A 16,136-nucleotide genomic window follows, 5' to 3' on the forward strand; every position below is an offset into this window, starting at 1 on the left:
TACCCTTGACTGGCATCTGGGAACTTGATCGGTAAACATTTCCCTTGACTGATATAAAACTTTCTTTGAATGATAAGAGTGGCTCATTGTGCATAGACTGTTTGTGAAAATAATATGGCTTATCCTGAACACGTAATTTTTTCCTGGGAGTTTGGAATTTCGGTACATCCTAGGCAGAAGGTACCTGTATGACCAGCTCCTAATGAAAATGTGGGTACTGAGTAGCTAATGAGATTCCCTGAGTGGACATATTGCACACATGTATTTGTATTGCTGGGGGTAATGTACTCTGCATCAACCCTTACAGGAGGGAGAGAGGATAAAGTAGCTTATTTATTTTAATTTCTATTTCTCTAACTTCTTAAACATATGAATTGCAGTTATAATAACTGTTTCACATTCTCATTTAGAAACGTGTTATTTCTGGCTCAGCTTCTATTGACTGATTTTTATATCCACTCTGTGTTTCATTTTCCTGCTTCTTAGCATGCCTAATAATATTTGAATTTCACATTAACTTTAGGATCAGCTTGTAATTTATGTGAAAAATAAAGGTGGAATTTTGATAGAGATTGCTTTTTCCAGCTTTTGATAAATAAAAATTGTATATATGTTGGGTATTTAATGTGATGTTTTGATACATGAACAGATTGTGAAATAATTGCCACAATCTCTCACCTCACACGATTATGATTTTTGTGTGTGTGGTGAAAACATTTAAGATCTACTGTCTTATAAAACTCCAAGTATAAAATATAGTATTATTGACCATAGTAGTATTGCTATCTTAACAGCATTAAGACTTTTAACACATGAACATAACATGTTTTTCCATTTATGTAGATCTTCTTTAATTTCTTTCAACAATGTTTCTAGTTTTCTATTTACAAATGTGCATTACATTGCACATTTTTGGTTGAATTTATTCTTAATATTTTATTTTATTTTCTATTGTAAGTATAATAGTTTTCTTAGTTTAGTTTTTGTATTGTTCATTGATACTATATAGAAATGCAACTGAGTTTTAAATATTGATCTTGGTGTGAAACAGGTTAACTAATTACCAATATTTTCTGAGATCAGACAAGATCACACATGTTCAGACTGGTATGACCATGGTGACTAATTACCAATACTAAGGAAGGACTCCCATTGCATGGAGGATAACAAAGATCATTGCTATGCCAACCACCAGGAGCAGGATCCAAACACTTTTGTTCACTCCATCCTGGGCTGCACCTTTACTATTCACCCAAGTTCAGTTAGATACAACACTCACATTGTACAAGTTATATGGAACAGGATTATTACTTACAGATAGGTGGCAAGGGACAACAGAAGCCCAGGATCCACAGTGAGCTGGTCAGCCGAGGCTCTGGAGAGCTGTCGGGGGTGGATGGAGTCCTGACTGAACATGCCACACTTGGACTGCAGCTTAGGGATCCCAAAAGGCAACCCACCTTGAGTTAACTCAGGGGACATGTGAGTTGCTGGGCTAAAGCATTGAAGGGCGTCTTGCTTCTAAGATAAAGACTAAAGCTCAGGCTATCCTGAGCAATTCTTCTCTAACTCAAGAAGTTCTCTTCCCTAGGAGGGCAAATAACAAAGCCTGGTCTATTTCTAGCAGTTCCTCCCTGTCTCAGGATATTGCATGCTCACACATGCTTCAACTATTCTGAGAACTACAATCAACAAGACAGAAGAAGACTAGGTCTGTCAAGGCTATACAGAAACTGTCCAACACTTGGACTTTGCACTGTTGCTGAATGTGGTTATTAGCTCCGAGAGTTTTTTTTTTAATATTTTGGGGTTTTCTTTATAAAGGATAGATCATCTACAAATACTTCTTGCTTTTCAATTTAGATGATGTTTCCTTTCCTGCCCAATTTATCTGGTTAAAACGTCTGATACACTGTTGAATAGAAGAGGCAAGGGCACATGTTCATGTCTTGTTCCTGATATTGGGAGAAAGCATCCCGTTTTTCACCAGTAAGTATGATATTGGCCCTGGTTTTTCTTAGATTGCTTTAATCAGATTGAGTAAGTTTCATTCTATTCCTATATTGTTGAGAGTCTTATCATGAAATAATGTTGGATTTATCCAAGTATTTTCTCTATTGAGAAAATTATGTCTTTTTCCCATTTATTCAATTAATATTACGTGTTATGTTTACTAATTTTTTCTATGTTGAACCAAACTTGAATTTCTGAAATAAATCTAATTTGATCATTGTTTCTAATCTTTTAAACACGTTGCTAAATTAATTTAGTTTGCTAGTATTTGCTGGCAGAATTCACCAAAAAGTCATTTCATCTTGGGTTTTTTGCTGTGAAATAGTTTTAAAATTACTCTGTCACAAGCCTATTATATTGTCTATTTCTTCTTGGGTTAGTTTAGATGGTTCATGTCTTTCTATAAATGTATCTATGTCATTTGATTATCTAATTTGTTACCATACAATTGTGCATAGTATCTTCATAAAAATTTTATATCTGTAAGGCCAAGAGTAATGCTCCTCTTTTCATTTTTGATTTCAGTAATTTGAGTCTGCTCTCTGTTTTTTGTCAATCTTACTCAAGATTTGCTATTTTGTTGTTCTCTCCAAAATGTTACATATTTGGTTTAATTTTCTCTATTGTTTGTCTAAGATTTATTTCATTTCTTTCCACTTTAATATTTATTTTTTCTTTCTTTCTGCTTGTTTTGTGTTGAGTTTGCTCTTCTTTCTGTGGATGGTGAAAGGTTTATTTTAGATCTTTATTGTGCTGTTGTGTAAATATTTAAAGCTATAGATTTCCTTCTAAGTACTGCTTTTGATGTTCCCCATAAGTTTTAGTATCTTGTGCCTTTGTTTTCATTAATCTCAAGGTTCTTTTTAATTTTCTGTGTGATTTCTTTCTGACCTATTGTTTATTAGGTGTGGTGTTTAATTTTCACATATTTGTGACTGTGAAAATTATTCTGTCATTGATTTCTAATTTCTTTACATTGTAGTCATACTCTTGTACAATTTTACCATCATTTTAAATTTATTTTGACTTTTTTATGGCCTAACATATGGTATATCATGGTGAGTGTTTCATGTGTACTTGAGAAGAATGTGTATTCTGCTGTTGCTAGGTGGAGTGATCTGTAGATGTCTGTTAGGTCTAGTTGACTTACAGCATTGTGTAAGTCTTCAATTTCGTTACTGATCTTCTGTCTCCTTTTTCTATACACCATTGAAAATGAGGTATTGCAGTCTTATTATTGTGAAATGCCTACTTTTCCTCTCAATTTTGGCTTCATGTACTTGTAGCTTTCTTTTTAAGTACTATATATCTTAATATTATTTGTGCTTCTTGTTGGCTTAATCATTTTATCATTAAAAATGTCTTTCGGCTGGGTGCAGTGGTTCATGCCAGTAATCCCAGAACTTTGGGAGGCCCAGTAGCCCAGTCGGGTGGATTGCTTGAGCCCAGGAGTTTGAAACCAGCCTGGGGTAGATGGTAGAAACCCCATCTACTAAAAAATAGAAAAATTAGCTGAGCATGATGGCTTGCACCTGTAGCCCCAGCTACTTTAGAGGCTGAGGTAAGAGGATCTCTTGAGTCCAGGAGTTCAAAGTTGCAGTGAGCCAAGATTGCACCACTGCACTCCAGCCTGGGTGCCAGAACAAGATCTTGTTAAAATAAAATAAAATAAAATAAAATAAAATAAAATAAAATAAAATAAAATAAAATAAAATAAATAAAATAAAATAAATAAAATATTTCTTTGTGTCTAGTGACAAATTTTGTCTTAGAATATATTTTGTCTAATATTAGTTTAGTCACTCCAGTTCCTTTGTGATAAGTTTGTGTGACATAACTTTTTTCTATTTGTTTACCTTCAAACTATTTGTATATTTGATTATAAAGTGTGTCTATTGTGATAAATATTTTGTTGAGCTATTTTTTTAGGCATTTCAGCAATATTTGCCTTTTAATTAGAGAGCTTAAATAATTTACATTTTATGTAGTTACCAATAAGTAGAATCTATGTCTATCATTTTCCTATTTGTTTTCTATATGTCTTATGCCTTTTTTCTCCCCATTCTTCTATTATTGGTTTCTAGTTTTCAGTAGATACCTTCTATGGTACCATTTTAATTTATTGTTTAATATGTATTTTTTAATATGTATTTTTTGAGATTTTCTTCAGTGATTGCCTTGGAGATTACAAATAATATTTTAACTCCTTACAATTTCGTTTAGATAAATACCTGCTAAATTTTCATAGTATACAGAAAGTTTTCTCCTATATAGCTCCATTTTCTCCCCTCCTTTACGTTATTGTTATACAAATTACATCTTTACACGTGTGTTTATATCAGAACATGCATTCACCCAGCTGTCTTTTAAATTACATAGGGCAAAAATACAAGTCAAACAAAAGTTATATTTATACTGTCTAACGTTTACCTATGTGGTTACCAGTAAGGTGCACTTTATTTCTTCATGTGTTTCCCACTTACTGTTTACTGTCCTTTCCTTTCAACCTGAAATACTCTCCTTTGAATTTCTTGTAGGGAAATTTTTCCAGGGACAGATTCTCTCAGTTTTAGTTTATTTGGGAATGTCTTAATTTCTCCTTCAATTTTGAAGAGCAGTTTTCTAGATACAGCATTGTTTGTTGAAAGATTTATTTATTAGTATTTTTATTTGGTTCTCTTTATGGGACCATGGAAGTCAGAAAGCAGTGGGGTGACACATTTAAAATACTATTAAATATAGCTGGTTTCGTTTCTATCTCTTTACTGATATTCTCTGTTTTGGTAAGACATTATTCTGATACTTTCTCCTAGTTCTTTAGAATGTAAACTTTCACTCTTTGAACATACTTAAAATAGCTAATTTAAATCTTTGTCTAATAAGGTCAATATCTGATATTCTTTAGTAAAGTGACAATTATTATTAATTGCTTTTTTTCCCTCCTACAGGCCATGGTTTAAAATAATTTTTTATATGTCATTAAAAAATCTGGACATTTAAAATGATATAATGTTTCAATTCCAGAAATAATAATCTTTCATTTCTCTCTGGTTTGTTGTTGTTGCTGCTTGCTGTAGCTTTGTTTGTTTAGTGAATTTTGTTATCTAATTATTTAATGTCTGCATTCTTTGGCATGTGTAGTCATTGATGTCTCAATTCATTTAGCTTAGTGTTTAGCTATTGACTAGGCAGAAATATGCCTCCATTTCTGGAACCATTAAGTCTCTCAGTTTTTGCTGAGAGGCTTTCTGTGCATGTTGGGGCATGCTTTCAACATTCAGCTAGACACCTTACAGCTCTGCCTGAGCTTTCACTTCTGGCTTGTGCAGTGTCACAAGGTCAGCCAGAAGTGACAGCTTAGGACGTTTTCAGGCCTTTTTTGAGAACACCATGTATACCAGCCTGTGAATGCACACAGTCCTATGCATGCATGTGGACTTCTAGATTTCTAAGGGTATATCAGAGCTTTTAAAAGCCCTTATGGGCATCTCATTCCCAACATTTTCTCCTAAGCTTTTGGTTACTCTATCATTTGCCCAGACTGCTATCTGGCATCTGAGGCAGTGATGAAGTTAAAACACTTGCCCGTAAATGATTTTGACAAATGCTCCCTTTAAAGAGATTTTCACACCTGGCAAGTGCCATGTCAAGTCAAATACAGAAAACCTTGAAAGTGGGTCTTCCTCAGAACCACCAGACAGTTCAAATGATGACAATTCTTTGGGAATGGGGCTTTGAAAGAGCTCCAGCTTCCTTCTGCTTCCTTTTGCTTCTTTCCAGGTTGATCATGCTGTACCAGGAATGTGTTCTATTATTTTTCAAGGATACTGGGGTGATGGAGAAGGGGTAATATGACTAGAGTAAGCTAAAATGCCAAAAAGCTCACTCTTACTGAGATTCAGCAAGTTTTCTTGTATAAATCCTCCTCTGCTGTAAAACTTTGGTTAATTTCTAGAATGCTAAAAAAGTTTATTCTGATCTTTCTCCTAGTTTTCTTTTGATGTATGAAGAACAAAATGTTCAAAAGTCCCAATTTCACCATTTTTTTGATATCCTATTCATTGTAATTTTTTATTGGATGTCAGACACAGAATTTTACTTGCTGAGTGCTGGATATTTTTGCCTCTCTGTGATATTCTTTAGCTTTGTTTTGATGCAGGACAACTTCTTGAAACAATTTTGATCTTTTTCAGTCTTTATTTTAAGCACTGGTTAAACGAGGTCAGAGCAGTGTTTATTCTAGTGTTACTTTCTCCTCAATACTAAGACAAACTCTTAGTACTCTACCAAATACCCAATGAACCATAAGGCATTTTAAAATTTGAAAATGCCTGTGTTGTCAACAGGGCTATGCTCAGATCTGTGTAAACCTCATGTACAGTTCTCTTTATCAATTTTGCTATTTCTTTCTTCCTCTTGGATATTTTCCTCACATGTATTTATTTACCAGTATTCAGGTGAAGAGTTAGGGGGATTCTTTGACGTCTTCAGTTTTCTGTGCTGCTCTTTCCTCTTTGGTACTCAGTCCTGTGGATTCCTGATATTTTGAGATCTCCGGGCTCCCAATTCCTTATTTCATGGAGACTTGTAGGCTCTTACTGGGTTTCTCCCTCTCTTTATAAGATCTTTAAACTTTATCAGTTTGTAAGCTGGGAAAATTGTAGTACTCCATTCTTTAGTTCCTCTTTTTGTAGATATCACTGTCCTTCTTTGACTGTTACAATTCAATATTTTAGTGCCATTAAGGTGTATATTTTCTCTTATCTTGGTAGTTTTAGATTACAGGGTGACTCTAACTTCTCTTATTCATTCTTGACTAGAAAAAAGTAGTCCTAGGTAAGGTTTTAAAATTTGAATATGCTTGTCCAGTGCTCAGTTAAACCCTTTCTTGCTTAAAATATAGCCCATCATCTTGAAGCCATTAACAATAATTTTTGTCTGAGGCAGAATTCTTCAATTACTTGAGAGAGGATCTTTAATAGAAAGTAACTAATAGTTATGCTCAGAGGTTTTATCTCCTCCTAAAACTGCATTTTCAACTACTATTATTCATGCCCTATTTAGTGTCTGGGAACAGTTTTTCATACTCTGTACCTTCAAGGCCTGACATTTTAGTCAATTATATTTCAGAATATATGCAATGTATATGTATGTTGGCAAAAATATATTTCTTTTCAATTCTGTTTATATATCACATACCTATATATTTTATTTGTTTAACTCTTTTGAATTAAAAGAGAAAGCAAAAGTGGTCAATCCAAAATTCTGATTTTATTCTGCCACCTGCTCTGAAACTACTGTTATCCTTTATCAAGGGATACTTTCCCTCTTTTAACATCAATGTTTTCACCAATGACTATCCTCCAGTGTGGCTAAAAATCAGGTTTGTATTGTTAGGGAAGTCAAAGAGAGTAAACCTTGGGTAATATTTTGAAGTCTGACAAAGTGACTAAATTAGCCACAGAATCTGAACTTAGTAGACTAGTTCAGTGAAATATATAAAGAACTCAATGACAGCATGGTTCAGGCAATGCCAAAGCTCTTGAATCAAATTGTAGCCAGTGCCATATCACTATAGAAGGCTTATTTCGATTAAGTAGTTGTGGTAGTTTTTGTTCTTATTTTGCTTACTACAACCATGACTAAATCTTCAGCATTTATTCTTATCAATTATAATTTATTTCATCTTTTGATACCCCCATTTCTTCTAGAATTTTTTTCAAATATGCTCTTTAAAATACATATTTTTCTCTGTACACTCCCTGTAAATTATCTACAATAGTATATAGAAAAAAAGTTAGAAATTATTCTGAAGAAATTTTACTTAATGTTGTTTTAAAAGTATTTCTAGTTTGCACAGGGGTAGAGCAAGATGGCAGAATGATTGTCCCTCCTTGTAGGGACATTAAATTAACTATCTACACAAAATATCACCTTCATAAGAACCAAAAATCAGGTGAGCACTCACAGTACCTGGTTTTAACTTCATATCAATGAAAGAGGCATGGAAGAGGTAAGAGAAACTGTTTTGAATCGCTAATGCCACTTCTCCCCAACCCCTGGCAGTGGGGGCATGGTGTGGAGAGTGATTCTGTGTGCCGGGAAGAGGGAGAGCACAACAATTGTGAGGGACTGAACTCAGTGCTGCCCTGCTATACCAGAGAACAAAACCTGACCAAACTCAGCAGAAGCCCACCTATGGAGGAAGCATTTAGATCAGCCCTAGACAGAGGTGAATCACCAATTCCAGCGGTTAGATATTCAGTTCCTGCAAGCCTTGCCAGTGTAGGATAAAGTGCTCTGGGAACTTAAATAATCTTGAAAGGAAGTCTAGCCACAAGGATGGCAACTCCCAGGTGAGTCCTAGTGCATAACTGTGCCCAGAGTCAGAGGACTCGTGTTGGGGGTGGGCAAGCAACCTACTGAGACACCAGCCCAAGTAGTCTAAGATGTAATGGCATCACCTCTCCCCAACCCCAGGCTGCACAGCTCACAGCTCCAAAAGAGACCCTTTACTTCTGCTTGAGAAGAGGAGAGGGAAGAGTGAGGAGGACCCTGTCTTATATCTTAGAGACCAGCTCAGCTACAGCAGGATAGGGAACTTGTCAGAACTGTGAGGCCCCCTTTCTAGGTCCTACCTCCTGAATGACATTTCTAGACACACCGTGGGACAGAAGGGAACTCACTGCCTTGAAGGAAAGGACCTACTCCCAGCAGGATTTATAACCTGCTAACTGAATAGCCGTGTGCTCTAAATAACCAGCAGCAATAGCCAGGTACTACGTCGAGGGCTTTGGGTGAGACCCTGAGACTTGCTGGCTTCAGGTGAGACTCAACATATTTCCAGCTCTGGAGGCTATGGGGGAGGCTCCTTTTCCTTCAGAAAAGTGGAGAGAAATGTAAAAGAGACTTTGTCCTTTACCTTAGGTAGCAGCTTGGCCACAAAGAGTAGGGCACAAGTGAGCTCTTGGGGTCCCAGATTCCAGGACTTGGCTATTGGATGGTATCTCTCTGGATCTGCCCTGGGCTGGGGGTGAGGGTGGGGGCACTTCCATGAAGGGTGAGTCCTAGGCCAGGCAGCATTCATTGCAAGCTGACTTAAGAGCCCCTGAGCTTTAAGGGAACATCAGCAGTACTCTGGCTGCACTCCCCATGGGCCTGTGGTGGTGGTGGCCATGGGGTGAGGGTTCTCTGTCAATGGAATGGCAAGGGAAGAGTGGGAAGAACTGTCTTGTGGTTTGAGTGTCAGCTCCGCCACAGTAAAATAGAACACCAGGTAGACATTAGACTTAATCTGCACTATATACCAAATGGATCTAATAGATATTTACAGAACATTTCATTCAACACCTGCAGAATACATGTTATTTTCCTCGGTGCTTGGATTATTCTAAAGGATATACCATATATTAGGTCACAAAACAAGTCTCAAAACATTAAAAAATTGAAATAATATCAAACATCTTCTCTGACTACAATGGAATAAAACTAGACATCAGTAACAAGAGGAATTTTAGAAATTATACAAACACATGGAAATTAAACAATTTGCTCCTGAATGAACAGTGGGTCAATAAAGAAATTAAGAAGGAAGTTGAAAAATTTCTTGAAACAAATATTAATGGAAACACAATATACCAAAACTCGTGAGATACAGCAAAAGTAGTATTAAGAGGCAAGTTTATAGCTATAAGTGCCTACATCAAAAAAGAAGAAAAACTTCAAGTAAACATCCTACTGATGCATTTTAAAGAACTAGAAAAGCAAGAGCAAACCAAACCCCAAATTAGTAGAAGAAAAGAAACAATAAATATCAGAGAAGAAATAAATGAAATTGAAATAAAAAAATTAAAAAGATCGATGAAACAAAAAGTCGGCTTTTTGAAAAGTTAAACAAAATTGACAAACCTTTAGCCAGACTAAGAAAAAAGAGAGAAGATTCAAATAAATAAAATCAGAGATGAAAATGGACACAAGCGATACTGCAGAAATTCACAGAATCATTAGTAGCTACTATGAACAACTACAGGACAATAAATTGGAAAATCTATAAGATATGGACAAATTTCTAGACACATACAGCTTATCAAGATTGACCATGAAGAAATCTAAAACCTGAACAGACCAATTACAAGCAACAAGATCAAAGCTGTAATAAAAAGTCTCCCAGTAAAGAAAAACCCAGGACACAATGGCTTTACTTCTGAATTCTACAAAAGATTTAAAGAACTAATAACAATCATACTCTATTCTGAAAAGCAGAGGGGGAAGAAATACTTCCACAATCATTTTATGAGGCAAGTATTACCTGATACCAAAACCAGAAAAATACATTGAGAAAATAAAACTAAAGGCCAATTTCTCTGATGAATATTGATGCAAAAATTCTCAACAAAATGCTAGTAACCCAAATTCAACAATACGTTAAAATGAGCATTCTTCATGAACAAGTGAGATTTATCCCTGGGATGCAAGGATGGTTCAACATATGCAAATCAATCAATATAATACATCATATGAACACAATGAAGGACATCAACCATATGATCATTTTAATTGATGTTGAAAAAGCATGTGATACAAATCAACATCTCTTAATGATAAAAACCCTAAACAACTGGGTATATAAAAAACATAAATAAACATAATGAAAGCTATATAGGACAGACCCACAGCTAGTATCATACATCATGAGGAGAAATTGAAAGCCTTTCCTCTAAGATCTGGAACATGACAAGGATGCCCACTGTCACCACTGTTATTAAACCTAGTACTGGAAGTCTGAGCTAGAGCCATCAGACAAGATAAATATATAAAAAGCATCCAAATTGGAAAGGAAGATGTCAAATTATCCTTGTTTGCTGATGATATGATCTTATATTTGGAAAAACCTAAAGAATCCACAAGAAAACTATTAGAACTGATAAATAAATTAAGTAAAGTTGCAGAATACAATATTAACATACAAAAATTGTAGCATTTCTATAAGCCAACAGTGAGCAATCTGATAAAGAACTCAGAAAAGTAATCCCATTTACAGTAGCCATATATAAAGGTAAATACCTAAGAATTAACTTAACCAAAGAAGTGAAAGTTCTCTACAACGAAAATTATAAGACATTGATGAAAGAAATTGAAGAGGACACACAAAAATGGAGGCATGTTCATGGATTGGAAGAAGCGATATTGTTAGAAAATCTATAACACCTGAAGCAATCTACAGATTAAATGTAATTCCTATGAAAATACCAATGACATACTTCACAGAAACAGAAAAAACAATCCTCAAATTTATGTGGAACCACAAAAGACACAGAATAGCCAAAAGTATCCAAAACAAAAAGAACAAAACTAGGAGGAATCACATTACCTGACTTCAAAATATACTACTGAGATATAGTAACCAAAACAGCATGGTACTGGCATAAAAACAGACACATAGATCAATGGAACAGAATAGAGAACCCCCAAACAAATCCACACACCTACAGCAAACTCATTTTTGACAAAAGCGCCAAGAACATACACTGAGGAAAAGACAGTCTCTTCAATAAATGGTGCTGGGAAAACTGGATATCTATATGCAGAGGTATGAAACTGGAGCTCTTTCTCTTGTCATATACAAGATCAAATCAAAGTAGATTAAAGACTTAAATCTAATACTTCAAACTATGAAACTACTACAAGAAAACATTGGTGAAACTCTCCAGGGCACTGGTCTGGGCAAAAATGTTTTGAGTAATACCCCACAAGCACAGGCAACCAAAGCAAAAATGGACAAATAGGATAATGTCAAGTTAAAGCTTCTGTACAGCAAAGGAAACAACAAAGTGAAAAGATAAGCCACAGAATGCAAGAAAATATTTGCAAACTAGCCATCTGACAAGCGATTAATAACTAGAATATGTAAAAAATTCAAACAGTTCAATAGGAAAAAGACTATTAATCCCATTTAAAAATGGCAAAAGGTCTGAATAGACATTTTTCAAAGACAAGTGAAACCCCATCTCTACTAAAAATACAAAAATGAGCTGGGTGTGGTGGCGCATGCCTGTAGTCTCAGCTACTCGGGAGGCTGAGGCAGGAGAATCGCTTGAACCCAGGAGGCAGAGGTTGCAGTGAACTGAGATCATGCCACTGCACTCCAGCAACAGATCGAGACTCCGTCAAAAAAAAAAAAAAGACATAAAGATGGCTAACAGACATGTGACAATGTGCTCAACATCATTGATCATCATAGAAACGCAAATCAAAACTTCAACGATGACAAGTGTGGTGGCTCATGCCTGTATTCCTAGCACTTTTGGAGGCTGAGGCTGGTGGACCACTTGAGCTTGGTACAACATGGTGAAACCTCATCTCTGCAAAAAGCACACAAAAAAATTAGTTGGGTGTGGTGGCATGCACCTATATTCCCAGCTACTCTGGAGGCTGAGGTAGGAGGATCAATTGAGCATAGGAGGTCGAGGCTGCAAACAGCTGTTATCACACCCCTGCACTCTAGCCTGGATGGCACAGCAAGACCCTGTCTCCAACAACAAAAACAAAAATAAAAAACAAAAACAAAACCCTAAATAAACCTTCCATGAAATACCACTTCACCCCAGTTAAAATGGATTATATCCAAAAGACAGGTAATAACAAATGCTGGCAAGGATGTGGAGAAAAGGGAACCCCTGTACACTGTTGATGGGAATGTAAATTAGTACAATCATTATGGAGAACAGTTTGGAGGTTCCTCAAAAAACTAAAAATGGAGCTACTATATGATCCAGTAATCCCATTGCTGGGTATATACCCAAACAAAGGAAATCGGTATATTGAAGAGAGATTTGCACTCCCGTGTTTGTTTCAGCACTGTTCACGATAACCAAGATTTAGAAGCAACCTAAGTGTCTATCAGCAGATTAATGGATGAAAATAAATGGGGTGCTTATACAAAATGGAGTACTATTCAGCCATAAAGAAGAATGAAATCCTGTCATTTGCAACAATATGGATGGAATTGGAGATGATTATGTTAAGTTAAATGAGGTATAAACAGAGAAACATCACATGTTCTCACATATTTGTGGGAGCTAAAAATCAAAACAATTAAACTCATGGGCATAGAGAGTAGAAGGATAGTTTCCAGAGGCTGGGAAGGGCAGTGGGAGTGGAGGAGGTAGAGAAGGGAGGTGGGAATGGTTAATGGGCACAAAAAATAATTAGAAGGAATTAATGAGACCTACTATTTGATAGCACAACAGAGTGATTATAGTTAACATAATTTAATTGTACATTTATAAACAACTAAAAGAGAATAATTGAATGGATTGCAATGCAAAGGATAAATGCTTGATGGGATGAATACTCAACTGTCCATGATGTGATTATTTCACATCACATCCCGGTATCAAAACATCTCAGGTACACCTACCATGTACCCACAAAAATTAAAAATGAAAATTTGTTCTAGTTCTATTATGTTATTGTTGTTAAATCCTGCAAGTACATTTTCTATCCAATTTAATAATCTCATCTGGACTATTATTATTTTATACATATTTTACTTATTTACTAACAAATATATAAACTATGAGAAGTAGGTATTAAACAAAATGTATTTGTTTTATTAAAATAAAAGCTAGCTTCATTTTGCAGAAAAAGAGGTGTGCTATGTTATTAGGAACAGGGAAAATTGCAAACATATTTATATTGTTAGTATTGCCTCTTGTTTAAATAATCATTTTTCAACAAAATGTACAATGGACTACTGCATTTTAAAACAATTCCAAAAGCAAACTTAAAACTTAACAAGAAAATTCTTATTATATATATATTTTTTAAAAAAAGCTGAATGCAAAAATAAATCTAGCACCCTACTGACAAGAAACAGCCAATATTAACATCATTCTCCAATAACAGTACCAACTGATTTTAGGACTGGGGAAGGGATTATAAAAGACAGGCCCGGACATCTTGTCTCAGAAAGGAAGAAAGTGCCCAACACACACACATGCACATCCACACGCACACACACTTTGATGCGGGTACTTCAAAGGAGCACACCGGCCCCCTGAAATGAGCTCATAATGGCCAAACCAAGAAATATTTGAGCAAAACCAAAAAAAAACAATTCAATAGTATTAAATTATAGCCCAAAGTATAAAATAAATATCCATGAGCACATACAGATACAGATAGACATATAGGTAGGTAGATAGATAGATAGATAGATAGATAGATAGATAGATGATAGATAGATAGAACAAATCTCCCAATGTAGAAATATTCCAAGTGATTTACATAGACATTCTGAATTCTGCCCTCACAATGGAAAACTGTAACTCTGCATTCTCCGCAGGTGTGGACTGTGTGCATAGGCACTTCTTATAAAGCCTACAATATGGAAAGGGGAATAAAGAGTACCTTTCCTGTGGAGAAACATGACAAACACTACCTCAGTTAAGTGACCTTGGTCAATACCACTGGCTACACATCATGTTGATAGCATGCACTCTTGAGAGGATAAGATGGAATGGGCACTTATCTCTGGGCCTTCCTCCCAGTACCCTATAATACCAGTCTTCTTAAAACAAAAATATTAGAGAAGTTTTAACAGAACACCTTGTAAAATATCTCACCAAGGCTCCTCAAAAATATCAAGGTTCTTAAAAACAAAACAAAACAAAAATTGAGAAACTGACAAAGCCAAGAGGAGCCTGGGAAGATATGGCAACAAATTACAATGAGGTAACCTAGATGGGATCCTGGCACAGAAAAAGGACATCCTTTAAAAACTAAGGACACTTCTATAAGGTGTAGGCTTTAGTTAATTAGTTAACAATAATGTACCATCATTTGTTCATTAATTAAAACAAACGTGTCATAGTAACATAAGATGTTAATAATAGAGAAAACTGAGTGTAGGATGTAGGGGAACTCTGTACTATCTATAATTTTTTTCTTTTATTTATTATACTTTAAGTTTTAGGGTACATGTGAACAACATGCAGTTCTGTTACATATGTATACATGTGCCATGTTGGTGTGCTGCACCCATTAACTCGTCATTTAACGTTAGGTATATCTCCTAATGCTATCCCTCCCCCCTCACCCCACCCCACAGCAGGACGTCCCAGTTTTTTTCTGTAACTCCAAAACAGTTCTAAAATTCTGTGTATTAAAAATTTAATCTGTTCTATGGTTTCAGTTTGAGATAAAAATATAGTTATGTATATCACCCTGGTGAACTCTGGATGCTGGGATTTCAATTTTTAAATCTCTTCTGTATATCTTTCCTGTAGTTTACATTTTTTATAGTTTTCAAATTTGCCTTACAATGAGATGTATTAATTTCATTATTATATAAAGCAGTAAACATGTTTTAAAAATTCTTAGGTCCTTAGAAAATGCCAATTATTTGCTCTAAATTTTAATAATAATGTATTTACAATACAGTATTTTGCAATATGCTTCAAGAAAAATATATTTTTGTTATGCCACTTTTGTTTAGGTTTTAAACCATAAGTTCATCATTATTATCTTAAGCATTTTATTGGCTCTAGGAATTCTTATTTTATTACCAATCACATTAAGCGATGTGTCCAGGAATCAATGTTGTCTCAAATGCAGAAGTATAGTCTTCATCTAAGGTAAGCCTGGCATGAGCATCTATGGTAGGATCTCTTTAATGACCACAGTGTTATACTTGACACGTGCCCAATTCTGTCCCCCTAGTTTCTAATTGCACATGAAGTGGTTTATCATGAATGAAACATCCTTAAATTTAAATTTAATGGGAATATAAAATCTGATAAAAGCTAAATGTTGGGACACACGGAGGATAGTTTATGAACAACTATTTAAGTACTGTGGAAAAATACTGTTATTATAGTTAAGAGTATTTGATGTTCTTAAGATCTTGCATGTATTTCTAGTCAAAATTTGTTTTCATTTTTGTCATACTTATTAATCTGAATGGTTTAGTGCCTGGCACACTAAAGATTCATTAAATCATTGTTGGATAAATTGGTAGATATAAAAACATAATCACGGCTCAAATATGAATTATATGTGAGACTTTTATGCTATAGAGTAATCAGTAGAAAACATATCTTATTAGTTAGTGTAAATATTCA

The 16,136-nt window shown here is 35.1% G+C and overlaps 1 long non-coding RNA gene across 2 annotated transcripts in view, besides 1 other annotated feature; it reads left to right on the top strand.

The window, feature by feature from the left end:
• Positions 510–1,709: an enhancer, noted in NCBI's record as "P300/CBP strongly-dependent group 1 enhancer chr8:50079889-50081088 (GRCh37/hg19 assembly coordinates)". NCBI's record gives its function as "activates an origin of replication core promoter dependent on BRD2, BRD4, P300/CBP, MED14 and CDK7 cofactors, with strong dependence on P300/CBP, by STARR-seq in HCT116 cells {active_cell/tissue: HCT116}" and the evidence as "EXISTENCE:reporter gene assay evidence [ECO:0000049][PMID:35650434]".
• LOC105375826 (uncharacterized) overlaps positions 1,673–16,136 on the top strand; it is a 60,415-nt gene continuing 45,951 nt past the window's right edge. For both annotated transcript variants that reach the window (NR_188094.1, NR_188095.1), the window contains exons 1-2: positions 1,673–1,711; positions 1,864–1,989. This is a non-coding gene — a long non-coding RNA (uncharacterized LOC105375826). The remainder of the gene's footprint in view (positions 1,712–1,863; positions 1,990–16,136) is intronic.

This window comes from Homo sapiens, chromosome 8 (assembly GCF_000001405.40).
Source record: "Homo sapiens chromosome 8, GRCh38.p14 Primary Assembly".
Classification (NCBI taxonomy): domain Eukaryota; kingdom Metazoa; phylum Chordata; class Mammalia; order Primates; family Hominidae; genus Homo; species Homo sapiens.